The sequence below is a fragment of the Homo sapiens genome, chromosome 18, assembly GCF_000001405.40.
Source record: "Homo sapiens chromosome 18, GRCh38.p14 Primary Assembly".
NCBI lineage: Eukaryota > Metazoa > Chordata > Mammalia > Primates > Hominidae > Homo > Homo sapiens.
In genome coordinates, this window is record NC_000018.10 from 1,120,219 (window position 1) to 1,148,149 (window position 27,931).

At 35.9% G+C, this 27,931-nt stretch overlaps 1 long non-coding RNA gene across 2 annotated transcripts in view; it reads left to right on the forward strand.

Moving 5' to 3' along the window:
• Positions 1-27,931, forward strand: part of LOC105371953 (uncharacterized) — a 155,413-nt gene that overhangs the window by 21,214 nt on the left and 106,268 nt on the right. For both annotated transcript variants that reach the window (XR_001753318.2, XR_007066436.1), the window contains exon 2: positions 13,625-13,676. This is a non-coding gene — a long non-coding RNA (uncharacterized LOC105371953). The remainder of the gene's footprint in view (positions 1-13,624; positions 13,677-27,931) is intronic.

Here is a 27,931-nt window from a genome sequence, read left to right on the forward strand (position 1 = left end):
TGTCTTGTTCTGGTTATCAAGGGGAATGCTTCCAGGTTTTGCCCATTCAGTGCGACATTGACTGTGGGTTTGTCAGAGATGGCTTTTATTATTTTGAGTTATAGTCCTTTGATGCCTACTCCTTGAGGGTTTTTATTTTGAAGAGATATTGGATTTTTTTCAAAAGCTTTTTCTGTGTCTATTGAGATAACCATATGGTTTTTGTTTTTAATTCTGTTTATATGTTGAATCACACTTATTAATTTGCATATGTTGAACCAACCTTGCCTCCTGGGAATGAAGTCTGCTTGATCATGGTTAATTAATTTCTTGATGTGTTGCTGAATTAGGTTTGCTAGTATTTTTTTAAAATGATTTTTGGCATCTGTGTTCATGAGGGATATTGGCCTGTAGTTTTCTTTTTTGTTGTTGAATCTTTTCCAGGTTTTGGTATCACTGTGATGCTGCCTTAGTAGAATGAGTTAGGGAAGAGTCCCTCATCCTTAATTTATTGGGACAGTGTTGTTACTGACAAAGCTGGTCTCCCCAAAGAGGGGATTTTTCCCTGTTTGGTGTCACAAAGCCAATACACAAAACTGAAAGTGAGTGTCAAGTAGTACAGGCATTATTTGATGGCCATGAAATTGAAAAGCAAGACTGTGGCTCACAAATTAACTTCTTGACAATGAGGGGTGAACAAGTTAACATATAGAGTTTCTCTAATGAAAGGGTTGAACATTAAAAGCAAAAGGAAAAATATTTGTGTCTTTTATGGAATTGGGCAGTGAAGTTTCCAGAACCAGAGTGCAGCCTTCCCTTTTGTCCTTTTATGGTTTCTTCTGGTCATTGTCATGGTGATTGTCAACTGTCGTGGTGCTGGTAGGAGTGTCATTTAGCATGGGAATGAGATTATAATGAAGCCTGAAGTCTTTTTGAAGTCATTTGGTTGGCTGTCTTGGTTCTAACCAGTCTCAGCTGATCTGGTTACAAAGGGAACTTTTTTTTAAATCACAGGTGTCCTGTTTCTTAAAGATAAGCAGAATTAGGACAGGGAAGAAATTCAGCTATGTCATGTAGGTATTACACCAGGTAGCAGTTTTAGCAGAATGAGTACCAGCTCTTTTTACATTTGGTAGAATTTGGCTGTGAATCCATCTGGTCTGGTGCTATTCAGGGTTTCAATTTCTCCCTGATTCAATCTTGGGAGATTGTGTTTCTAGGAGTTTATCCAGCTCCTGTAGATTTTCTAGTTTGTATTAATAGAAGTGTTTGTAATAGTTTCTGAGGATGTTTTGTATTTCTGTGGGATTGGTTGTAATGTCTCCTTTGTAATTTCTGATTGTGCTTATTTGGATCTTCTCTCTGTTTTTCTTTGTTAATCTAGTTAGCAGTCTATTGATCTTGTTTATCCCATCAAAGAATCAACTTTTGATGTTGTTCATTCTTTGTATGGATTTTTTGGGTCTTAATTGCATTCAGTTCTGCTCTAATTTTAGTTATTTCTTTTTTTCTGCTAGCTTTGGGGTTAGTTTGTACTTTTTTTTTTGTTCTTCTATGTGTGATGTTAAATTGTTAATTTGAGCTCTTTCTAACTTTTTGAGGTAGGTGTTTAGCGCTATTAACTTTCCTCTTAACACTGTCTTTGTTGCATCCTGGAAATTTTGGTATGTTGTGTCTCTGTTTTCACTTATTTCAAATAACTTTTTTGATGTCTGCCTTAATTTCATTGTTTACCCAAAAGTCATTCAGAAGCAAATTGTTTAATTTCTATGTAATTTTATGGTTTTGAGAGGTTTTCCTGGTACTGATTTCTATTTTTATTGCACTGTGGTCTGAGAATATGATTGGTGTAATTTCAATTTTTTGACTCTACTGAGACTTGCTTTATGGTTGAGCATGTGGTCAATCTTATAGTATGTTCTGTGTGCAGATCAGAAGAATGTATATTCTGTGATTTATGGGTGGAATAATCTGTAGATGTCCATTAGGTCAAATTGGTCAAGTATCAAATTTAAGTCAAGCATTTCTTCTTTTAGTTTTCTGCCTTGATGATCTAATGCTGTCAGTCGGATGTTGAAGTCCCCCGCTATTATTATGTGACTAATTCTTTTTATAGGTCTAGAAGTACTTGTTTTATGATTTTGGGTGCTCCAATATTGGGTGCTATATATTTAGGATAGTTAAGTCTTCTTGTTGAATTGAACTCCTTATCATTATGTAATACCCTTCTTTGTCCTTTTTCTACTGTTGTTGGTTTAAAGTCTGTTTGATCTGATATAAGAATAGTAACCCTTGTCTTTTTTTGTGTTCCAGTTGTGTGATAGACTTTCTCCAACCCTTTACTTTGGGCCTATGGTTGTCATTATAAAATGTCCTTTTTATACCTTAGAAACATAATTCAGCTGAGGTTTCCTTTATCTGCTACTGATTCTCATGGCTGTTTTTAGTAAGGCAAAAAAATGTGTGTGTATTCTAAAAAAAATTATGTACCTAGCAATTTTGGTTATATATCTTCAGAAAGGTTTTTAGCATGCTATGTGGACCAATGAATCTCAGCATTTTGTTGTTCACAATCTATTTTACTTTACCTAAATATGGCTGCATAGCATGTTATCATAATCGTTCTTGACATTTCATATTTTAAGCCTAAGCCTGTGAAATATAAATATAAACACGATATATATATTTTAAATATCCCATTTTCTGCTAATTGCACTAGTGGAATGATATGAGCTCTGCTTTCTCAATAATTATTCAGATTTGGGCATATTAAGTAAGAAGGGCACTTGCAAGGAAAGCAATGTAATTGTGAGACTAATTGCATCCCAGCCTCCACTTTCGTTGTCTATGGGATTGAGTGAACAGAGGCCAAATTAGAGAGAAATCTTATAGAGATTAAAGTTATTTACCTTAAATTTACCTCTTATTGAAGGAATCTGAAAGATCTTTTATCTGCATATGTATTAAAAACAGGCCATGTTACCCTAATGTTACCAAGGTCTTATGTCTTCAGAAACCAGACATAGTCTGTGGTGTCTTTCTCTCTCTCTCTCTTTTTTTCAACTGAATATTTATTATTATTATTATTATTATTATTATTATTATACTCTAACTTCTGGGATACATGTGCAGAGTATGCAGGTTTGTTACATAGGTATACACATGCCATAGTGGTTTACTGCACCCATCAACCCCTCATCTACATTAGATATTTCTCCTAATGCTATCCCTCCCCTAGCCCCCACCCCCCGACATGCCCTGGTGTGTGATGTTCCCTTCTCCTGTGTCCATGTGTTCTCATTTTTCAACTCCCACTTATGAATGAGAACCTGCAGTGTTTGGTTTTCTGTTCCTGTGTTAGTTTGCTGAGAATGATGGTTTCCAGCTTCAACCATGTCCCTGCAAAGGACATGAACTCAATTCTTTTTTATGGCTGCCTAGTATTCCACGGTGTATATGTGCCACATTTTCTTTATCCAGTCTATCATTGGTGGGCATGTGGGTTGGTTCCAAGTCTTTGGTATTGTGAATAGTGCTGTAATAAACTACATGTGCATGTGTCTTTATAGTAGAATGATTTATAATCCTTTGGGTATATACCCAGTAATGGTATTGCTGGGTCTAATGGTATTTCTAATTCTAGATCCTTGAGGAATCACCACACTGTCTTCCACAATGGTTGAACTAATTTATACTCCCACCAACAGCGTAAAAGCCTTCCTATTTCTCCACATCCTCTCCAGCATCTGTTGTTTCCTGACGTTTTAATGATCGCCATTCTAACTGTCATGAAAGACTTAAACGTAAGACCTAAAACCATAAAAACCCTGGAAGAAAACCTAGGCAATACCATTCAGGACATAGGCATGGGCAAAGACTTCATGACTAAAACACCAAAAGCAATGGCAACAAAAGCCAAAATTGACAAATGGGATCTAATAAAACTAAAGAGCTTCTGCACAGCAAAAGAAACTATCATCAGAGTGAACAGGCAACCTACAGAATGGGAGAAAATTTTTGCAATCTATCCATCTGACAAAGGGGTGTCCCTTTCTCTTGAAGATAGTTTTGGGACATTGTAGATGGGGAAGAGAACCATAAAGTATCTCAACGATCACCCATTTTCTAGTGTCATTGCCTTGGGAATTCTCTTAGGAGACAGGATATCTCTTAGGATAAAGCAAAAACTTTCAAGACATGGTGCTTAGTAGCATTTTCCTGTGTGCAATGAGTCAAATGTGGGCAGCTCTCCTGCCTAGCATTCTGGTACTCAAGTCTTCCTCTCTTTTGCAGCCTTCAGGGGAAATGGAAATAGCTTGAGATTCTTTTCTAAATTCATGAAGTTACCACTGACCTTCAGTTTTCTTAAAGTCTCCACAGATTTTGTAGTTCACTGACCCTCATGAATACTCATGCCCTGCAGGACTTTGAGATTTGGAGAAAAGCAGCAGTTCCCTGGTTCTCTGATTAGAAGTAAATGCATGCACGTAATATTCAAATATTCAGTGGAATAAAGGCATGCACATAATATTCAGATATTTGTCTTTACAAAAGCTCTGTTGATACCAATTGCAGCTTTTCCATCCAGAGTACAGGCCTGAAGATATATTTCCTGAAAATGTATGCCACATAAAAAATAAGTCTTAAAACAAAAAACAAGAACAATGCATTCTTTGCGGCATGTAGAGAGAGCTGAAAGTGTCACATCTTCAGGATGTAAAATAGTTTAAAGTTAATACAACTATGGTGTGTAAAGCTTGTCTGAAAAATAACCAAGGAGTGATGTTATTTGTAGTGATTTTTTAAGCACGTAGACTGTGATGCACCACTGGATTGAGTCTTATTTCCAATAATGGCTCGGGCAAGATAATGAACGTATTATGTATAATACTGCTTCTTGATGACAAAGTAACTCTAAATATTCCCAGACTCTTTGTATGTTTCAGTAGAACTCTTTTGTAATAATGGAATGCACCAAAAGGAAAATGGACCAGAGTTGTTAAACTCCTTTTGATGGAGTAACAAAAGGGCCCATTTTCCTTGCCTTTTCCCTAATTTAGAAATCGTTTTATGAAGCATTTGTTAAGTGAAACATATATGCACAGTTTGGTAAATGAGTTTAGTGGAATGTTGCAGTGTGGGACTAATTACAATCAGAAGAAAGCTGAACTAAAAATCAAGAGACATACAATCAAGTCCTGCTAATTTTTGACCTTGGGCAAAACACATTAGCTTTTTTTCTCAGGTTTTTCATTGGTAGAAGAGGTGTGTATATATGTGTATGTGTGAAAAGGGTAATCTCTGGGTTCTCAAATAAGGTGATACTGACCTCAAGGGAGTGTTTGGAAAACTGTAGGGGCATTTTTATTTGTCACATTCACTTGGGATATTCCTGACATTCACTGGTTGCCAGTCTGGGTTAGAAAACATCCTACAATGCACAAGATGATCTTGCCCAGTGAAGAATTTTCCTTCCTCAAATGACAGTCATCAAGACCCCCCCTTGGGGAAGCTGCAGATGATTCTCTGCAGTCTCTTCCAGTTCTGCATTCAAATTACACAGTTGGTAAAAACAGTATTAGGTTAAATAAAAAGCAGATTCCATGAATCCATAAAATCATGAACACAAGAAACACTTCAAATTTTTACAAAATGCTTGGGGCAGAGGTCATATATATATACTTATTTACCAGGAAGACAAACCATCATTTATTGAGTCTCTCTGTACAAGCCATTTTTGTAAATGAAATAATCGACATTTTATTTTATTTTATTTTTTTGAGATGGAGTCTCGCTCTGTTGCCCAGGCTGGAGTGCAGGGGCGCGATCTCAGTTCACTGCAACATCTGCCTCCCGGGTTCAAGCAATTCTCCTGCTTCAGCCTCCCAAATGGCTGAGATTACAGGTGCGCACCATCATGCCGGGCTAATTTTTGTATTTTTAGTAGAGATGGGGTTTTGCCTTGTTGGCCAGGCTGGTCTCAAATTCCTGACCTCAAGTGATCTGCCTGTCTCAGCCTCCCAAAATGTTGGGATTACAGGCATGAGCCATCATGCCTGGCCAAATCGTAGACATCTTAATGAGAACGGCTCAATTTAGATGTTATTATTATATTGCCGAAAATAAGCCTGAAGCTTAGGGAGGATGGGCAACTTGTCTAAGACTGCAAGTGGCAGAACAAAAATGTTAATTTGAACCTGTCTGGCTCCAAATCTGGGGCTCTTTCCTCACATTATGCTCCTTTGAAGATGGAAAATAGTCAAGATGAGGATAGAAAAGTACATGTGTGTCAAGTGACCATGAAGAACTTTTTCTAGTTCCTTGGTGGATGTATGTTAGTTACTGTTTTGCCTCTGACCCTTTGCAAAGGCTGCATCTTTTTTCCTGAACTCCTCTTCTGCGCTTGACCAACTCATCTTCATCCTCAGATCTTGCTTGTGCTTTGCTTCCTCTGGGAAGCTTTCCCTGACCACGTGGAATGGATGTTAGGAGCCTGCTTTGTTCCAGGAGTCTCCAGTACTTCCTCAATCATCCACACTCCACCTTAGTGTAGCTGTTTGATTGACTTCCACGCTGGTCGTAAGCTTCATGAGGATGAAGTGCGATGGGTCCCCATTTCCAAGCACTGTATATTGCACATTACGAAATATTTGTTGAGTAGAGGGACATAAAAAGTGAACACAGCAATTCAGTTTAAGAAACACAGTGATATTAATTTGAACGTTTGTTCTTTGAACTCTTTTAACATTAAATAGCATTCATTTTATATAAATACATAATTTTACATATACTTATTGCTGTAATTCTTTATAGTATGCATTTCTAAAATTTATTTCTCATACTCGTGTTTACTCTTCTACTTTTACTATTTAATATGTTTTATTTTATGTATCTTTGTGTTTGTATTTGTTTTCTTTAGACATGCTGTGTATCAGTTAAATGCATGATGATAATATATTCTGGGGACAGAATAGCAGAAAAGGCAGAGTGAAGACAGTGGAGCCAGGTGGCCTGAGTTTGAGAATCTTGGTTCTACCACTTACTAGCTACATGGCTTTTGACAAGTCACTTGGCCTTTCTTCATAGAAAAAAAAAAAAAGAAAGAAAGAAAATAGGAGTACTTATCCCTGATGATTGTTTTGAATATTAACAAAGGTAATACATGTAATATATGCAGTATAAGTAAAGCACTTAAGGGGCTTGAGAAAAAGTGTTAGTACATGTGCAGTTATTCTTATTCTTATCTTTCTCTTTGATTGGGCCATTTTAAGGTATTATAGATTAAAAAATGTATGAGAAAGGGGAAATGATTAAACTTGATTATTTCCATTCAGGGGACGTTAAATAGTTTTCTAAATCTTTGATTTAGAAGACTCAAGGTGACTTATGCCAATCAGTACCAGCGCAAAGAAGCAAGGAGCACATCGCTTGTCCCAGGATGGACTTAGAGGGTAACACTCTGGAAGAGACAATCAGCCATCTGGTGTCACGTTATTACTCCAGTGAAGCTTTGTTCTTATCTACCTCCTTTGTGCTGTTACTGTCAGCACATGTAGGCTCTGTCGTAATTCTTTTCTGAAAAGGTGAGATTGAAGTCTTACGAGCCTATCAAAGAGCAGGTCCCTGTGGCTAATATTGGTGATAGATTTTTGCAATATGGCAGTACACAACCTTAATACTCTATGTTAGGAACCTTCTAAATCTCCTTGATGATAATTTAACAAAAGTCTTATATGCATCTCAAGGAATTAATCACCAAAGCTATTCTCTCTTTTGGGTGCTAGGCCCCAAAATAAACAGGCCTCACAATAAACAGTTTGAGACACATCTAAAACCAACATTTTCAAGTTTTCTCACTCTTGTTTTAGTGTATGGATCACTGTGAATCTCTAGTTTGCAAATAATTAATGGATGACAATTATGCTGCTTTCCACAGTACCATTTCTTGTTAATCTTGGCTGGTCATGCAACTTGTACGAGGACTCATTTTAAATCATAGCGATAAATCCTGATTAGTGAAATGTGCATACAAGTTTCTCAACATATTGTACTGTGAAATACTGGATTAACAAATGTATGTTTGTATAATCCTCATCAGTAATGATATTTGGCTTGAGAGGTGAGGAATTGAAATTTAAGCAGTGTTATTTTTTTCTCACTTTTGGAAGTCTGGAGAGTTTATATTTTAGCTATTTATTAAACCATGAATAGTGTAAACTGTCATTGATATGCTATAATGTCAAGAGAAAGCTAAGAAAGTCAAAATTATTCAAGACACAATGTGGCAGATTTTGATAATAGGGAATATGTAGTGCACTGTTACAAAAACCGGATCTTGGAAGAATATCTGCTTGGTGATAGTAATGGCATTCTCCAGTTTTCTATTGAGAAAGCTCATTTGCTCCACTGGAGAGCTTCTTATATCCTTAAATGATATACATGTGTGGGAAAATACCAGAAGAATTTTTTTTTTTTGAGAAATGGGGCATATTTGTACCCCAGACTGGTTGGGTTTTGCTTTAATGCTTACCAAATCACTATCATTCTAAGGCTATTTATATTGGTAATTACCTGGTTTTTTTATTTGATTACTCTTGCTAATTAAGAATTGGGTAAATAATGTGGGACAAGACATAATATCTATGTTGTACACTTTTCTGTGAATATATTTTATAATACCTTATGCAAATGGTAAGTTTTCTCAGGTGTAGCAGGTAGCATGGTCATGACAATTCCAGGAATATATTGGAATACCTTTGTTCTTATGTTGTTAAGGAGAACAACAACTACATTAAAAGAGCTGAGAGAAGAAAGTAAGACAAATATGTATTTATAAAGCTTGCTATATTAACCTTCTTATTTACCATTTCTGGGTCTCTTCCTTTCTTCTTATGACTTTGAGTTTTTGTACTGTGTCATTTTCTTATCCCAATACAATTTTCTTCTTTCCTGTCTATTTTGTGCTGGTATTGTCAAATATGTTTCATTTCTATGTGTTAACAGACCCCACAATGCAATCACATACATATTGTTTTGTGGAATTGCTTTTTAAGTTAGTTAAGAGAAGAAAAGAGAAGAAATGTGCAATTATATTATCTTTTAGAATCAACTACAGAAATACCTTTCTCGGCATTCTTTCTGTTTTATATGTGTGGATTCAAATTATTGCTTATCTGTTTTCTTCAGCCTGAAAACTTTCCTTTGTATTTCTTCTAAGGTGGGTCTGTGAGCAACAGACTGTCTCAGTTTTTGTGTATATGGAAGTGTATTTATTTGGCCTTCATTTGAAAAAATTGAGGTATAATTTAGAAGCTATAAAATTCTCTCCTTTAAAGCGTGTTATGTGGTTTTTACTAAATCCACAAAGTTGTGTAACCATCATCACTATCTAACTTCAGAACATTTTAATTACCTCACAAAGAAACCCTACATCCACTAGCAATCATTATTCATTCCTCCTACCCCGTAGTCTTTGGCATCCATTTTCTGTTTCAATGCATTTGCTTATTCTGGGCATTTCATATAAATAGAATCATATAATGTGTGGATTTTTGTCAGTCTACTTTTACTTAGCATAATGTTTTAAGGTTCACTCATGTTGTATTATGCGTCAGTATTTCATTTCTTTTTATGGCTAAATATTCTATCTATGAATATATCATTTTATTTACCTATTCATCAGTTTTTGGACATTTGACTTGTTTCCACTTTTTGGGTATTTTGATTAATGCTGCTATAAATATGTACACAGAAGTTTCATGTAGATATGTTTTCAGTTCTCTTGTGTATGTACCTAGGAGTGGAATTGCTGGGTCATATAGTAACTCAACGTTTAACTTTTTGAGGAACTGCCAAAGTAGTTTCTGTAATAGCTGCACCATTTTACATTCCCACTAACAATGTATTGCTTCTAATTTCTTCACATCCTTTCCAAAATGTGTTATTTCCTCCTTTTTGAATATAGCCATCCTAATGGGTATGAAGTGGTGTGACTCTAGTTGTGGCTTCAAATATGTCGTTTCATTGCCCTCTGGCTTTTAAAGTTTCTGATGAGAAGCCAGCTGTTAACCTTGTTCAGGTCCCCTTAACATGATGTATCTTTTTTTCCCTTGCTGCTTTCAAGATTTCCTCTTTGTATATCAATATTTTGACTATGACGTGAGGATAACAGCTCTTTGTATTTATTCTATATGAAGTTTGTTGAGCTTCTTGGATGTGTGGATTAATGATTTTCATCAAATTTAGAAAATTTTCAGACACAATTTCTTCAAATACATTTTTGATCTTTTTTCTTTCCCCGTTTTTTTTCCTGGAACTCCCACTATGCATATGTTGGTGTGTTAATGATGTCCCACCTTTTTCTGAGGTCCTGTTCATGTTTCTATGTTTTTCTTTCTGTTTTTGAGACTGCTTAGTCTCTATTGATCTATCTTTGCCAGTTTTTTCTTCTGAGAGCTCAAATCACTGTTAAGCCCCTCTAAGTTTTTTATGTTTGGTAATTTCACTTATCAACTACAAAATTTTTGTTTTTATAATTTTTATCTCTTTGTCGTTTTTATAATTTCTATCTCTTTACTGATACTATCTATTTGATGAGACACTGTCATCATAAATTCCTTTAACTCTTTAAGCATGGGTTCCTTTAGCTCTTTGAACATACTAATAGTAGTTGTCTTGAAGTCTTTGTCTGATAAGTCCAACATCTAGGCCCCTTAAATAAGGTCCTTCCTATTGCCTGCATTCTCCTCACTGTATATGGATCACACATTCCTGTTTCCTTACTGTTTTTTTGATAACTAGACCTTTAAATTAATACATTGTAGCAACTCTGGATACTGATCTCTCACTGCTTGGAGCTTATTGTTTGCTTCCTTATTTGTTTAATAACTTGGCTGGACTGCTTTAATGAGATCTATTCCCCGTAATGTGCAGCCTATGATGTCCCTTCTGAGAGGGCACCGCCATGGGCCCACAGTCTTTAATCCTGATCACCAGAGGTGACTGTGGTTTTAATCAGGCTCTTTTTGACTATTTCTTTTCTGTTTCAGCTTCTGCTCTTTCTCTATTCATATCACATTCCTCTGTAGGATCCACTAATTGCTAGCTGATTGCTGTATTTTTTTGGACAACACGCTATGTATGGCATTAATTGTTCCATAGTTTGATACAATTAAAATTCAGCCCCTTGAAAGGGGCAGGTTGTTGCCAGTCTTTGAGGCTGGTTGGTATCCTCTCCTGAATAGAACCTCTATGCAACAGAGTAAGAGCTGAGAGGTGAACTAGATTTTCATTGGCTATCCCACCTGTATCCTCCCTGGAGAGATGGGTCTGTGTGTGTAGGAGGATGGAGGGAGGTAAGGGTTGGTATCACCTCTTGGTTTTGGCCACCAGCTAGCATGGATCTGCTGTAACCCAGTGCCAGAGAGGGTGGAAACTGCTGACATTCATCATCTGCCACATGGTCTTTGCCTTAGGAAGCTGGTGGAGGTGGGAGCTGACACTTGGGTGCCACACCCACTGGAGCAACTCAGAACTGTGTAGGAAAGGGGGACTGCATTCTTCAACAGCTGTCCTGCCTGGGTCCTACCCAAAATGCAGGGGTTGATGTGACAAAAGTTGCCCCCCAGCTGTTGCCAACTGCTTGATAGAGGTCCTCTGTATACAGATATGTAGAAAGTGGGATCTGCTGATATTCACGGGCTGCTGAAACCACCCAGAATAGTAATTCCATCCCACAGAGCTGAGGAGGATAGGAACTTCCAGTTGGGTACCAAACCCACTGGGCCCACTGAAACTCTTCTGCAAGGGAGAGGTGTTGGTGGATGGGTGCAGTCTCTAGTTTGAATGTTGCAGCCTCCACAGTTCTTACTGAGTTTCCAGAGATTTTTTTGAGTAAGGGCTTTTCAATTTGTTGTAAGGTCTTTGATTAGTCTTTAGAGACTTTAAATAATTGTTTTTGCTAATTTTGACCCGCATACTTGATATCGCTCTAGTGGAGAGGTTTTACTGAACTATTCACAACATCATCTCAGAAATCCTGCTTCTCACAATTAAATTATGTAATTATAAAACCCTGCCATATATTTTAAAGCAATTTTTGCTTATTGAATAATTTTTCAGCTAATTAGCTCATTTCACCTCTACTAAGAACTGGCCTTTCAAAATCTCAAAATCTCAAACTAGATGTTCTTACTTGGGACCTATTTATGAATGTGTTCAGATCACAGTACTCATGTCACCAAGATCATGACATGTTTTAATTTGCTCCAAGAAGCACAAAATCTATCCACTGGGCCATTCTACTGCCACTTTAAATCTCAAGAAGATAAACTCTATTTTTAATGTCTTTATTCACTTGGGTGTTTTATCTTTCCATTTTGAAAAAGACATCCAAAAAATTTCTTCCTTCATATAATTATTATTTTTCTTGCCTTGGGAAGTGGTGGCTGGTCTCTCTGGTTATCCTGGGGGTGCTGCCTTGGCTACTCAAAGCTGAGAGCTCAAGGTGAGCCAGGATCTGCACCCGCAGCAGCAGTATTTCAATATGCTGGAGCATTAGCCTCTACGGAGGAGTGTACTGGAGCCAATAGAGGAAGATGCCCAGTGAAGACTGGGATCTGGGTCCCAAATCCACCATTTTATTTCCAATAGTCAAAGATGTAAGAGTGTTTTCAATAAGTTTATTTAAAAGGAAAAAACCCACACACATACCTATATTCCATCATTGTAAAAATTATTTCCGCTTTTGTGTATTATTGTATTATTCTTGTCCATTTGCAAATAATTCTTATATTATGGAAATCTCAATTTTTAAAAAACTCTGTGGTTTTTAAATGTCATACCATTCATTTTAGATCCTTAGGTTTTTCAGGCTAGAAGTGGAGATGTAAAAAACTTGTTGCTCATCTTTAAAAAAATTTACTTTTCAAAGTTTAGATAATATTTCAAAATTTCATCTTTGTAGTTGGTAGAATTTTGGATCTGGAAGGAAAAGACCATCTATTTAATATTTTTTTTTACAAAAGAGAAAACAGGGGCCCAGATAAGTTACCTGAGCTGCCTAAAGGGAAAAGTGGCCAATGGCAGAATTATGAGGATTTTTCTGACTCCTAGGTGCTTTCTTAAGTCTCACTATGTTCCCTTGGCTGGCCTCAAACTCCTGGGCTTAAATGATCCTCCTGCCTCAGCCTCCTGAGCAGGTGGGACTACAGGCCTGCACCACCATGCTTGACTTTTCCTTGCATTTTTAACAGCATGCTTTATACTAATAAACATCAGCAAATAAGGCTAAACAAGTTATTTAAATTATTTTTTCCCCACACCTGGCACAGAGCTCAAATAGTGACTTTTGGGCTTTAAACATTTGCTCTTTGGAAACCTAACTTGGCACACACGGTAAGAATATAAAGATGATTTCTCTTTCCTGGAAATTTCAGGTTGTCTGGGATACAAACAAAAGGGCTGCCAGGTCGCCCAAAGCACATGCTGAAGCATGCCAAGGAAGGCTTCTGATTGGTCCCAGCCTTCCAGGTCTCTATGGGCCTCATTAATTTGATGTGCTTTGCTTCTATGACAATAGAACACTGGCCTAGTCAATTACTTGGAACTGCATTTCTCAGCTTGTCACACTCCCCCTGTCTTTTAGGGTCTGGAAATAACTGGGAAAGAAAAGCCTTGTGGAAAGAAGACATCTCCAGGTTTGTTTCCTTCTTGCACCCTGTAAAAGAATGTGGATCTTCCCTCAAATAAGTAAAGGTGAATTTATTCACTTAAAAACACTGAAACTGTTTTGATTGCAATGTATGGAAACATCCAAGTTTTAAAAACAGTCAACTCTTTGATACACGCTTATCTCATTAGTCTCTCCTTTTTAATGGAAAATTTCTTGTTTCCACATGTAAAGGTAAGCAATGCAGTTTCTTTATGCTTGAAAACATTAGACCACTAAATATTTCTAATTCCAATATTTTAAAATAGCCATTGTATAGAATAGTTTTATTCCAGACTGACATGAACATTCTCATATTTCTTGTTTTTAAGACAATACAAATTGTAGCCCTTTCACTTTCCATATGCGGAAAGGGCTGTAGTGGAAATAAGAACCAGCAAAAACCAGACTTTCTACTCTAGTGTTATGTTACTTGAAAGTCAAAACCTCAGTTTCCTTCAGTCTTATAAAGGGGTTGATAACCTGTTATGTAAGTCACAAGCCTTATGTTGGCTCTATTTTAGTAAGACAGTTTTCACTGTGAAAAAGTAAAGAATCTGCTGTTAACTTACTTTTTCTACCACATGCCAACAATTTGAAATGTAGAATTTTCTTCTTTTCTGATATTTCAGAAGTTCAATTCCTCTACCTGTTTTTAAAATTCTATTTTCTCTAATCTCCGTCAATTGGTGTAATAGATATTTATTGAGCTCAGATTCAGGAAATGCTCACAGCAGCATTAAAAATGTTAAAATAATCTCCTTCCATTTTAGGGACAAGGAACTGATGCTGAAGAGCTTAAAGAACATGTACAAAGTCTTATTGGGAGTAAATGAGTTAGGACTTGAACCCAAGACTGACTCAAAGGCCTGAGCTTCTATCCATTAGTGCTAAACAATCAGTTCTAGTGCTTTCATCATCTGTCGCGTTCTTTCTCCTAACTTTTAAACATGTTCCAGTGTCTCCTTCTTTAAACCAATAGTAGAGATTTATTTTCTAGATCCTACTTCTCAAGCCCATCTTTTTCCTTCCTTTCATTGTTCAATACCTTGAACAATTAGTCTTTACACACAGACTCCACTTCTTTACCTCTCCATCCACTCCCCAACTCACTACCACCTGGCTTTTGCCTCTACCATTGTAAAAACTCCTTTCACGAAGGTGAACAATTATTTAAGTGCTAACTCTTATGGCCTTTCCTTTAAACATTTTAAACTCAAAGTACAAGTGCAAAGATTTAATTTTGATGAATTTTTACGTATTTACACACTACTCATATCAAGTTATAAAATATTTGCGGCATTCCAGAAGGCTCCCTTGTGCTTCTTGACAGTCTTATGCTTAACCCCACTCACAGGTGCCCCCATTCTGATTTCTATCACCACAGACTAAGCTTAAACTAATTTTGAATACTCTGTACATAGAATCATGTACTTGTCTCCTTTTGTATCTGGTTTTGTTTACTCAATATTATGTCTAGTAGATTTATACAAACATCTATATGTAGTTTATTTTTAAAAATTTGCTGAGTAGTATTCAAGATCTGAGTAAGTCACAGATTACTTATTCATTCTACTCTTGATAGACGTATGGTTTATTTTCAGTTTTTGCTATTACTAATAAAGCTGATGTGAACAGTCTTGTACATGGCTTTTGGTAGACATAGCACTCATTTTCTTGGGGCATATACACAGAAGTGGAATTGTTAGCTCATAGACTAAGCATTTACTAAGTTTTGGTAGATTCTGTCAAATGGTTTTTGAAGGTGATTTCACCAATATATACCCTTACTGGTAATATATGAGGGTTTTAACTACTTTATATCTTCACTGTCACTTGATACTGTCCGTCTTCTTTTAGGTGGTACTGTTTTTAAAAATTCCATTTTCCAATTGTTCGTTGTTAGAATTAGAAATACAATTTACCTTTTAAAAGATTTATTGAGATATAATTCACAAACCATACAATTCACCCATTTAAAGTATAAAATTCATATTCAAAGTATAATAACAAGTATAATAAAAATTCAAAGTATAATAAAAAGTTGTATAACCGTCAACACAATCAATTTTAGAACATTTTCATTACCCCAAGAGGCAACAGTCCCAAAGCCCCAATTCTGTGTCACTATTGCCCTCCAGCTCTAGGAAACCACTAATCTGCTTTTTATCTCCAGATTTACCTGTTCTGGCTATTTAATATAGGAGGAATCAGACACTATGCGATCCTTTCTGATGGCTTCTTTCACTTAGCATCATATTCTCAGGGTTCGTGCATGTTATAACATGCTTCAGTACTTCATTCTTTTTTATTGCCAAATAATATTCAATTTTATGTATATACCACATTCTATTTATTCATTCATTCATTGATATACATTTGGATCTTTTTCATTTTTGATTATTATGAATAATGCTGCTATGAACATTTGTGTATATATTATTGTATGGACATATGTTCCATTTCTCTTGCATATATACCTAGGAGTGGAATTGCTGGATCATATCATAACCCTATATTTAGACTTCTGAGGAAATGCCAGACCCTTTTCCAAAGTGGTTAACCATTTTAAATTTCCTACAACAAGGTGTAAAGATTCTAATTTCTCCATATCATTGACAACACTTACTATTATCTTTTTATTATAGCTACCCTAGTGTGTATACAGTGATATCTTATTGTGATTGCATTTGCCTGATGGTTAAGGATATTGAGACTTTTTTCATGTGCATATTGATTGGTCTTTTGTATATATGTGTGAACACATATATTTTGGGAAGTGTCTGCTCAGATCTTTTGCCCATTTTTAGCTGGCTTGTCTTTTCATTACTAATTTATAATAGTTATTTATATTTTCTAGTTAAAAGTCCATATTTGATATATTATTTGCAAAACTTTTTTGGTATACTTCAGGTTGTCTTTTCACTTTCCTGATGGTGTCTCTGAAGCACAAAAGTTTTCCATTTTGATGAAATCCAATTTACCACCTTTCTTTGATTGCTTGTGCTTTTGGTGTCATATATAAGAAACCATTGCCTAATCCAGGGCCATGAGTATTTATGCCTCTATTTTTTTTCCCAACAGTTACATAGTTTTAGCCCTTACATTCAGGACTTTGATCCGTTTTGAATTTTTTTTTAAAATATATGTTGTTAGGTAAGGTTTCAACTTCATTCTTTTGCATCCAATTGTCCCAGTGCCATTTGTTGAATTAGCTTTTTTTTTTTTTTTTTACCATTGAATTGTCTTGCAATCCTTGTCAAAAATAAATTCATCATAAATATGAGGATTTATTTCTAGACTTTCAATTCTATTCCACTGTCTCACATGTCTATTCTCATTCAAGTACTATATTGTCTCAATTACTGTGGCTTTGTAGAAAATACTGAAATCAGTTAGTATGAATCTTCCAACTTTGTTCTTTTTCAAGATTGTTTTGTTATTATGGGCTCCTTGAATTTCCAAATCAATTTTATTTATTTGGATAAGCTTGTCAACTTCTGCAACAAAGTCAGCTACTGGGATATTGATAGAGATTGTGTTGAATCTGTAGATTTATTTGGGAAGTAATGCTATCTTAGCAATATTAAATCTTCTAATCCTTGCACATGGGAAGTCTTTCCATTTATTTAGGTCTTCTTTAATTACCTTCAACAGTGCTTTGTAGTTCTCAGAGTATAAGTTATACACTTCTTTTTGTTAAATTTATTCATAAGGATGTTATTCTTTTTGGTGCTATTACAAATAAAATTGTTTCTTCATTTCATTAAATGTTACCATTTAGAAATACAATTAGTCATTGTACATTGATCTTCCTTCCTGCAATCTTTCTATCTTAGTCTGTTTGTGCTGTTACAAAAAATCTGAGACTGGGCAATTTATAAAAAACATAAATTTATTTCTTACAGTTCTTGAGGCTGGGAAGTCCAAGATCAAGATACTGGCAGTTCTAATATCTGGTGAGGGCTTAATCTCTGCTTCCAAAATCGTGTCTTGAATGCTGTGTCCTCACATGGTGAAAGGGACAGAAAGGCAAAAGAGAACAAACACTGTTTTCTTACATGGTGGAAGAGCAGAAAGGGATGACCACTAGTTCCCTCCAGTGCTTATAAGCTCTTCCTACAGGACTTAATCACCTTCAAAGGGTCCCACCTCTTAATACTATCACATTGACAATTTCACATTTCAGTACACAAATTTGGGGGGACATTCAGATCATAACATTTGCCAATTTTTTTTCTTAATTCTAATGGATTGTTAGTGGATTCCTTGGGAATATGTAAAACTATATTTGCATTTGTTCTGACTATATATATTACATAACAATACCCAAATTATATAAATGGATACACACACACATATATATGCATACTTATATGTATATACACACATGTACACATATATGTATATGTATAAAAATTATATATATGTATATATGTGTGTGTGTATATATATACACACAGAAACGCTCTATTGACCAGAGGTGTTGAGAGCAGATATGCTTGTATTTCTTCTGATCTTAGAAGTGAAGTATCCAGGCTTTCACCATTAAGTAGTATGTTATGCGTTTTTTTGTAGATGTCTTTTATCAAGTTGAGGGCATTTCGTTCTATTCCTAGTGTATTTACTTTTTTAAAAAGTCATGAAACAGTATGGAATTTTGTCAAATGTTGCCTCTGTCTATTGTAATAATCATGTGGTTTTGTCTGTTATTCTATTAATGGCATTTATTACATTAATTGATTTTGAAATCTTAAACCAACTTTGTATTTCTGGGATAAGTCCTACTGGGTCAGGACTTTTTCTATTCGAATTTTCTATTTCTTCTTGAAACAGTTTCTGTAATATGTGACTTTCTAACTATTTGTCCATTTCATCTAGATTGTCTAATTTGTTGCATACAGTTTTTTTAAAAATAGGATTCCCTTATCATCCTTCCTATTTCTGTAATGTCTGTAGTAATGTCTCATTTTTCATTCCTGATTTTATAATTTGAGTCTTCTTTCTGTTTTCCTTCATTAGTCTTGCTAAAGTTTTGTCAAATTGTTGATCTTTTCAAAGCTTCAACTGTCAGTTTTGTCTGTTGTTTTTCTGTTCTCTTTATTCTTGATCTAATCTTTATTATTTCTTTCAATCTCCTTACTTTGGATATGGTTTGTTCCTCTTTTTCTAATTTGTTAAGGTGTAAGGTTAGGTTATTTTTTTAAGATCTTTGAGTAAGCGTTCGCAGCTGTAACATTTCCTTTAAGTACCTGCATTCATTGAATCCAATAAGTTTTAATATTTTGGGTTTTCATTTTCAGTTTTTCATAGTTTTAAACATTTTCCTTGTTATTTTCTCCTCAATTTTTTGTTGAATTTTTACTTCATCCCATTGTAGTTGGAGAACATACTTTGTGTGATTCAATCATGTGCAATTTATTGAGGTTTGTTTTATGCCCTCTATGTGGTCTATCCTGGAGAATGTTTCATGTGTGCTTGATGAGAATGTATGTTTTGTTTTGTGCAGTGCTCTATAGATGTCTCTTAGATCCAATTTTTAACATTTTCTATTTATATATTGATCTTCTGCCTAGTTTTATTTATTGTTGAAAGTGGGTTATTGAAGTCTCCAACTAGTATTGTTGAATTATCTCTGTTTCTCTTCAATTCCATTAATTTTTGGGTCTCTGTTATTAGGTGATTACATTGTAATAATAATTATTATTTTTCTGATGGATTTACCTTGTTGTCATTAAAATATCTTTCTTTTTCTCTAACTACTGTTATTATTTTGACTACTATTTTGTCCAGTATTATTAAAACTATTCCAGCAATTTTTTTAACTGCTTGTATGTTATATATATTTTTTATACTTCAACGTGATATGTCTTTGAATCTAAAGTGTATGTTTTGTAGGCAACAAATAATTAGATTATTAAAAAAATCAATTTTACCAATCTCTGCCTTCTGATTAAATGTTTATATTTATCTGATTAGCTCTGTTTATATTTAATATATGTACTGATAAAATAGGTTTTATGACTGTCATTTTACTGTGTTTCCTACATGTTTTATTTCTATTTCTCTATTTGTTCCCTCTATTGTACAAATAGATATTTTCTAGTGGATATTTTAAATTATTATTTTTTGTTTCTCTTCCTATATATTTTCAGTTATTCTCTTAGTAGTTGCCCTGAGATGACAGTATCATAACTTAAATAATTTAGTTTGAATTAACAGTAACTTAGTTTCAGTGGCATACCAACGCTTTGTTCTAATTTACCACAGTTTTCTCTCCTGTCATTTGTAGTCTTATTGTCATACAAGCTACATCTGTATAAATAATAATAGCATCAACAGTGTAGTATAATTATGCAGATATCTTTTAAAATACATTAGAGAAGAGTTATATACAAAAGTGCATTTATATCATATTTCAGAATACCTACATTTTTATCTTTATTGTTGCTTTGTGGGAATTTCTTTGTGTAAATTCAAGTTATTGTCTGGTGTCTTTTCATGTCAGCCTAAAGCCTAAAGTAGTGTAGGTGTGCTAACAACAAATTATGTGTTTGTATTTATCTCGGATCATGCAGTTTCTTCATTTTTTAAGGAGATTGTTTAGATGTATATAGAATCCTCGGTTGACAGTCTTGTTAAATTTTATTTTATTTATTGATATATAATAATTATATATATTTTTGGGATAAATGTGATATTTTGATACTTGTATGCCATGTGTAATGACCAAATCAAGGTAATTGTGTTATCTATCACCTCAGTGACAATCTTTTTATTTTAATACTTTAAAGATGTCATTCTGCTGTCTTCTGGCATACATGGTTTCTGATGAGAAGTCAACTACAAATGTTATTGAAGATCCCTTAAATGTGATAAATTGTTTTTCTTTCCTGTTTTCTGTTTTTGACTATGGTGTATTTATCACTATCAATCACTGTCAATTTGACTATAGTGCATTTAAATGTAGGTCCCTTTGAGTTTATTCTACCAAAATGTATTGAGTGATTTGAATATGTAAATTAATATTGTAACATTTAATTTTCAGTTCTTCATAATTTTTGTGTTAGTCACTTTGTATAAAATAATACTACAGAGTGAGGTAAATGATATTTACCTTGTAAAAGGAGCATATTTTTTCTTAGGTCAGGCCACTGTTGTGTGGAATTAGTCAATCTAAAGTTTTTTACCTGAGTCTGGGCTTTATCTGATTCATTTCACTACTTTTTTCAAATATTGAAAGCAAGTATGGAATGAGAACTTTGGTTTCCCAGGCCTGGGACTTAAGTGTTGGCAGTATTTCAGAGATCTACCTTTGATTCACAGGCAAGTTGAGAGATCTCTTCTTGCTTTACAACTTTGCTCTCTGTTTTTTGGGTTACTGCATTTCAATCTCACCCTGCTTTCTGAACTACCAGAGATCACTTTTTAGTGCTGCTTTTCTGCCCTCAGATATTTGGAAGGTGGAAACTCTACCCTCTGTGAAGGCTAATGATGCCTTGGTGTGGGCACTCTCAGCTGGCTTCTCCTCCAGTCTTTGGCATTTGAAAGTGTGGGTGGCTTGGAACATTTTTAACTCTCTTGCCTGGCCCCTTCGTTGAATGAAAATCCCAAGTACCTATGGGTGACATCCTTTCTCTGTCTCTCCCACTCCACTTTTGCCATATGACATTGAAGCACTAACTGATGGCTTGTGAGGGAGAGTTGGCAGGTAGTTGGAGACATGCTTTGTGTCTGGAACTCCTAAGGATTCTAGCCTTTCATACTACTACACATGCACCAATTAGAAATTCATTGTTTTTCTCCCTATCTCCTCCTCTTCTGCAGGGATAGGAACAGTCTTTTCTCTCTTCTGAAGGTTCTTCATTTTTTGGAGTTTGAGTCATTTGAGTTATTTTGGTTCCTTAGGTCTCTGATGTGTTTCTAAAATATCCATGATTTTGTAGCCTATGTGGCTTGTTACATCATTCAGATGCGAGTAACAGTATCTTGTCATTTTCTGCATCCAAACTGGAAGTGAAATCATCCCTAGGATTTTAAGATACTATTTACTTTTCCCATTAGAAGTCCTTTGAGATATGAGGTCTTTTTATCCCCATTTCATAGGTAAGGAAACATACCATGTTCAAAGTTCAATAATCTTTCCAGTGCTAGGTAGTCAATGAGTTTCAGTTTTCATTTAAAATCAGATTTTTTTACTTTAAATTCATTTATTGATTTTCTCATTCACTATATCTTTTGGGGCCAAGAGAGAGGAAAGAATGATTCATACTTCAGAACTGAATTGAGAAAACCATCATTTCGTGTTGTATTGTCAGGTATTCTATTCCCAGGAAGGTAGATTTTAAAGAAGTCTATCTTAAAATAAATTGGGAAGCATTCCATAAATTCTTCCGTTGAAAATTCTGATTGTGACCCAATTTTGCTGCTTTTCTCACCAGCTGAATAAGTGAACTTCAGAGCTTATCCAAACCAGGTAGAGAGCAGCTGTTCTGGTGTCCATCACTCTGGTGCGTACACTCTGAAGTGACTTATTAGCCCATTAGCAGCTGGCTTAGTGGAATTTTGAAAGAACCTGTGCTTCTCAACCCAAATGCCTGAGACCCAGAGAGAGAACACTTGGCTACTGATACCTGAAGAATAAATTACTTCAAATTCTGGGGGAAAATTTCTCAAAATAAAAATGAACATAAATGTAAAAATATTCCTAAGGAATACGCATGCACCTGAGGTCCCCCAAATTTTATATTTTGAGACTTCTAAGGTGATAATCCTTTGTTTTCTAAAGAATATAATTAACACAAATTGGTTCCCTGTGTCACTTTTGAATTTTCAAAGTGTGGTCTGATTTTTTTAGTTTGAGATTAATTTAAAAGAAACAAGCTGATGTGTAGAGTTAAAGGCACCATGTCACCCGAAATCATGTTTTAGTGTGTTTCCCCTCACCCCAGCCCTTTTCATATTGCCTTCTTTGTTGCTGCAACTGTGCATCTTGCTTTGGCTTTAAGCATCTCTATACGTTAACTCAAAAGGAAACATTGTTCTGTCCTGACTGACTCTTAGATAATTCTCCAGTCTGTAAGTTAGGAAGAAAATCTCAAGAATAACCACTAAAGAACCTACTCATGTAACCAAATACCACCTCTTTCCCAAAATCCTATGGAAATAAAAAATTTTTAAAAAACAATATGGGAGTGAAGATTATTTTGTTTGTGTAGTCACAGTGATACTTTTAAAGTGCAGATAGTGGAGATCTGAATAGACAGTTCCCCTGCTAGCAAATGCTTCAATGGCTCTCCACTGACCTGAGGAATCAACCCTCCTTTCCATTTGATTTATATGATTCTTCATGGTCTGGCATGGCTTACTCCTTAAGTCAGACTCTAGACTTTATCCTCACTGTGCTTCTCATCCATCATGGTTTTGCTAACCATACTGGTGATAGCACAATTAGGGATTTGATCTGTTACCCTCTTTAACTTTTCTCCAGCAATTCATAAGAATGACTCCCCTCTTCTTTTGGAAATGTTCTACTCCATTTGCTTCTATGACAATGGTTTCTTCTTGTGATCTTCCTAAAGTACTTGTCATTCGGTCTCAGTTTCAGTTTTGGACATGTTAATTTTGAAATGCATGTGAGAGAGCCAAGCAGGGATCATTAGTATCCAAGGAATTTGGATATATGGGTCTGGAGATCCTCCTGGCTCCTCTTTTGAATTATCTTCAACTGAGGTCCTAACATCTCAGTCCTGGGTCCTCCTCTTTCCATCTCTCTCTGTTCTCCTTTCATATTTCCTTTTCCTTCTCCCTGCTCTCTTTTATTCTCTTTGGCAATGACTTTTAAAATCTATGATATCAGGGGAACCCACCCCCAATATTTCAACATAGGTTCTATTTTCCATAAGTGTTGGCCGGCTGAGAAAGAGAGAGAGTACAGAGAGAGGAATTTTACAGCTGGGCCTCTGGGGGTGACATCAGCTATCAGTAGGACCGTGATGCCCACCTGAGCCTTAAAGCCAGCAAGTTTTATTAAGGATTAGAAAAGGGGAGGGGGGTGCAAGAACAGGGAGTAGGTCACAAAGATCACATGCTTCAAAGGGCAAAAAGGAGAATAAGATCACATGCTTCTAAGGGCAAAATCAGAAACTTCTGATAAGGGTCCAACAAAGATCACAAGGCAAATGGCAAAAGCAAAGATCACAAGTCAAAGGGCAAAAGCAGAATTACTGATAAGGGTCTATGTTCAGTGGTGTACGTATTGTCTTGATAAACATCTTAAACAACAGAAAACAGGGTTTGAGAGCAGAGAACTGGTCTGACCTCAAATTTACCAGGGCAGGGTTTTTCCCCACCCTAGTAAGCCTGAGGGTACTGCAGGAGACCAGGGCATACTTCTGTCCTTATCTCAACCACATAAGACAGACACTCCCAGAGCAGCCATTTATAGACCTCCCCTCCAGGAATGCATTCCTTCCCCAGCGTATTAATTATTAATATTCCTTGCTAGGAATAGAATTTAGCAATATCTTCCCTACTTGCACGTCCGTTTATAGGCTCTCTGCAAGAAGAAAAATATGGCACTATTTTGCTCGACCCCGCAGGCAGTCAGACCTTATGGTTGTCTTCCCTTGTTCCCTGAAAATTGCTGTTATTCTGTTCTTTTTCAAGGTGCACTGATTTCATATTGTTCAAACACACATGTTTTGCAATCAATTTGTACAGTTAACACAATTATCATAGTGGCACTGAGGTGATGTACATCCTCAGCCTATGAAGATAACAGGATTAAGAGATTAAAGTAAGACAGGCATAAGAAATTATGAAAGTATTATTTGGGAACTGGTAAATGTCCATGAAATCTTCACAAGTTATGTTTCTCTGCTGCGGCTCCAGCCAGTCCCTCCGTTCGGGATCCCTGACTTCCTGCAACACTATGACAATTCTAACACTTAAATCTCTAGCCAGTACTTCTCCATGAGCTACAGACTTTCATACACAAGCTGTTTGGAAGCATGTGTGTTTCTCAAAGAAAATGTGAGCTCCCTAGGAACAGGACCTTATGTTTCTTGTCCACTATTGTATTTCTTTTTTATTTTTTATTTTATTTATTTATTTATTTTTTATTATACTTTAAGTTTTAGGGCACATGTGCACATTGTGCAGGTTAGTTACATATGTATACATGTGCCATGCTGGTGTGCTGCACCCACTAACTCGTCATCTAGCATTAGGTGTATCTCCCAATGCTATCCCTCCCCCCTCCCCCCACCCCACAACAGTCCCCAGAGTGTGATATTCCCCTTCCTGTGTCCATGTGATCTCATTGTTCAATTCCCACCTATGAGTGAGAATATGTGGTGTTTGGTTTTTTGTTCTTGCGACACACATCATTTTTTATGGCTGCATAGTATTCCATGGTGTATATGTGCCACACTTTCTTAATCCAGTCTATCATTGTTGGACATTTGGGTTGGTTCCAAGTGTTTGCTATTGTGAATAATGCCACAGTAAACATACGTGTGCATGTGTCTTTATAGCAGCATGATTTATAGTCCTTTGGGTATATACCCAGTAATGGGATGGCTGGGTCAAATGGTATTTCCAGTTCTAGATCCCTGAGGAATCGCCACACTGGCTTCCACAATGATTGAACTAGTTTACAGTCCCACCAACAGTGTAAAAGTGTTCCTATTTCTCCACATCCTCTCCAGCACCTGTTGTTTCCTGACTTTTTAATGATTGCCATTCTAACTGGTGTGAGATGGTATCTCATTGTGGTTTTGATTTGCATTTCTCTGATGGCCAGTGATGATGAGCATTTTTTCATGTGTTTTTTGGCTGCATAAATGTCTTCTTTTGAGAAGTGTCTGTTCATGTCCTTTGCCCACTTTTTGATGGGGTTGTTTGTTTTTTCCTTGTAAATTTGTTTGAGTTCATTGTAGATTCTGGATATTAGCCCTTTGTCAGATGAGTAGGTTGCGAAAATTTTCTCCCATTTTGTAGGTTGCCTGTTCACTCTGACTTATTTCTATTACCTAGAAATACCTAGAATATTGAGTGCTTGGGACTCAATATATGCTAAAAAATATTTGAACAAATAGATATTAAATTTTATCAATCTATTATGCCTATGAGGTCTTTTCAGAATCCTTTAGGTGAAGGCTATCAATTTTTCATTCCCTAGTAGATGTGTGGTTTGATGTGTGGATGGTGCAGTGCAAAAATTTACGTACAAGCCAAGCCTTGAGGTCACCAGTGAAAGAGGGCTCATTTTGTGGGTGCTTATAAAGACAAGATAGCAAATATGCGATTAAATTTAATTCAACTTACTGAATTCTATCAATACAGTACAGTTTTATTTGTTCATTCTTTGTCAATGAATAGATGAAATGTTTCTACTTTTCTGTGATTAATAATTTGGATCTTATTCAAATTACTAACAATGTCAAATTAAATAAAAATGTTATGAAGATATAGGGTCATGTGATTAGTAGAAGCATCTGCTTTAGCAGACAAAATGTCCTGATGACTTGGAAATATTTTCTGAACAACTGAATATGGCTAGAATTAGGATTGGGTTTTTTTTCCTTTATTATCTTTCATAATCTATATTAATTTGAAAAATAAAAAGTAACCTTTATAACATTTAGTAGTTATAAATAATAATTGTGTAAGGAACATTTATGAGCCCACTTCCAAATACAAAACTACAACATTAAAACATTTTCAGTTCCCTATTAATTCTCTTCCTTCTACCCATCTCTCTGCCTCCCTGCCCTCTACATTACTCCATGCCACAATGGTAATCACTATTCCAAAACTTACATTTATCATTAATTGTTTCTTTATAGTTTTATCATACATATACATATGTCTAAGTATGCCAATTGGCTTTATTTGTTAGTGAACTCTACATACCCTGTAGTTTATTGGGACATGCTTTTTTGGCTAAACATTATCATTTCAAGCTGTACCTATGTTGTTTCAGATAGTCATAATTCATTGTTGTGTGAATATACCACAGTTTGATTCATCTGTTCTCAGTCAATGGATATTTGTGATGTTTCTACTTTTATGCCATTAAGGATTCTGCTTTTATACAAATGTTTAACAAAGTAATATTTATTTTTAAATACACAATTTTAATTTACTGTTTTAAAACACATATTCAATGTCACTGTACTTTCTTTAATAAGATTTTGCCCATAAAAAGTTATCAATGCCTGCACTTTTTAGACCTTTTGTATGTGGCTATCATTCTTTAACTTCCTAAAGCGGCTTATTTTCCCTTACTCCTGGGCCTTTGCAGATACAGTTCTATCTTGAAGGATTTTTGCCTTACTACTTCTCTCTCTCATTTGCCTGTGTACCTCCTATTCATCCTTCAGGTCTCATCTTAGATGTTACTTTTTCCAGGAATCTTTCCAGACTGCGCCATATTGTGGCAGGTGGCTCCAACCCCTGCCACACACACCCATTCTACTTTGTATTTTCCTTTTCAAAGTGCTCATTATGCACACGTGTATCATAGTTTCTGTTTACTTCTTTGTCTTCACCACTGACATGTCAACTGAGAATGGTAAACACTATGCCTCATTTTCTGATACATCCCCAGAATCCAGGCCAGGACCTGGCATTAAACAGATATTCAAAAAATATTTGTTAAATAAATATATGAGAGAAAGTGGTAGAGCAAGATGGCAGAACAGAAGGCTCCACCAGTTGCTCCTGCTGCAAGGACACCAATTTAACAACTATATACAAAAGAAAGCACCTTCGTAAGAACCCCAAATCAAGTGAAAACTCACAGTACCTGGTTTTAGCTTCATGTAGCTCAAAGAGGCACTGAGGAGGGCCAGAGAGACTCTTGAATCACTGACACCACCCCTCCCCCATTTCCCAGCAGTGACCACCTGGCTCAGAGGGAGAATTTCTGAGCCTGGGAGAGGGAGAGTACAGCAACTGTGAGACATTGCATTGAACTCAGTGGTGCCCTGTCATAGCAGAAAGCCAAACTGGCTGAAACCTGCTCACAGAGGGAGTTTTTAAACCAGCCCTAGGCAGAGGGGAATTGCCCATAGCAGTGGTTGGAACTTGAGTTCTGGCAAGCCTCGCCACTGTGGGCTAAAGAGCCCTGGGGCTCTAAATAAACTGGAAAGGCAGTGTAAACCACAAGGACTGCAACTCTTAGGCAAATCCTAATGCTGAACTGGGTTCAGAGCCAGCAAACTGGGTGGCAGGGGA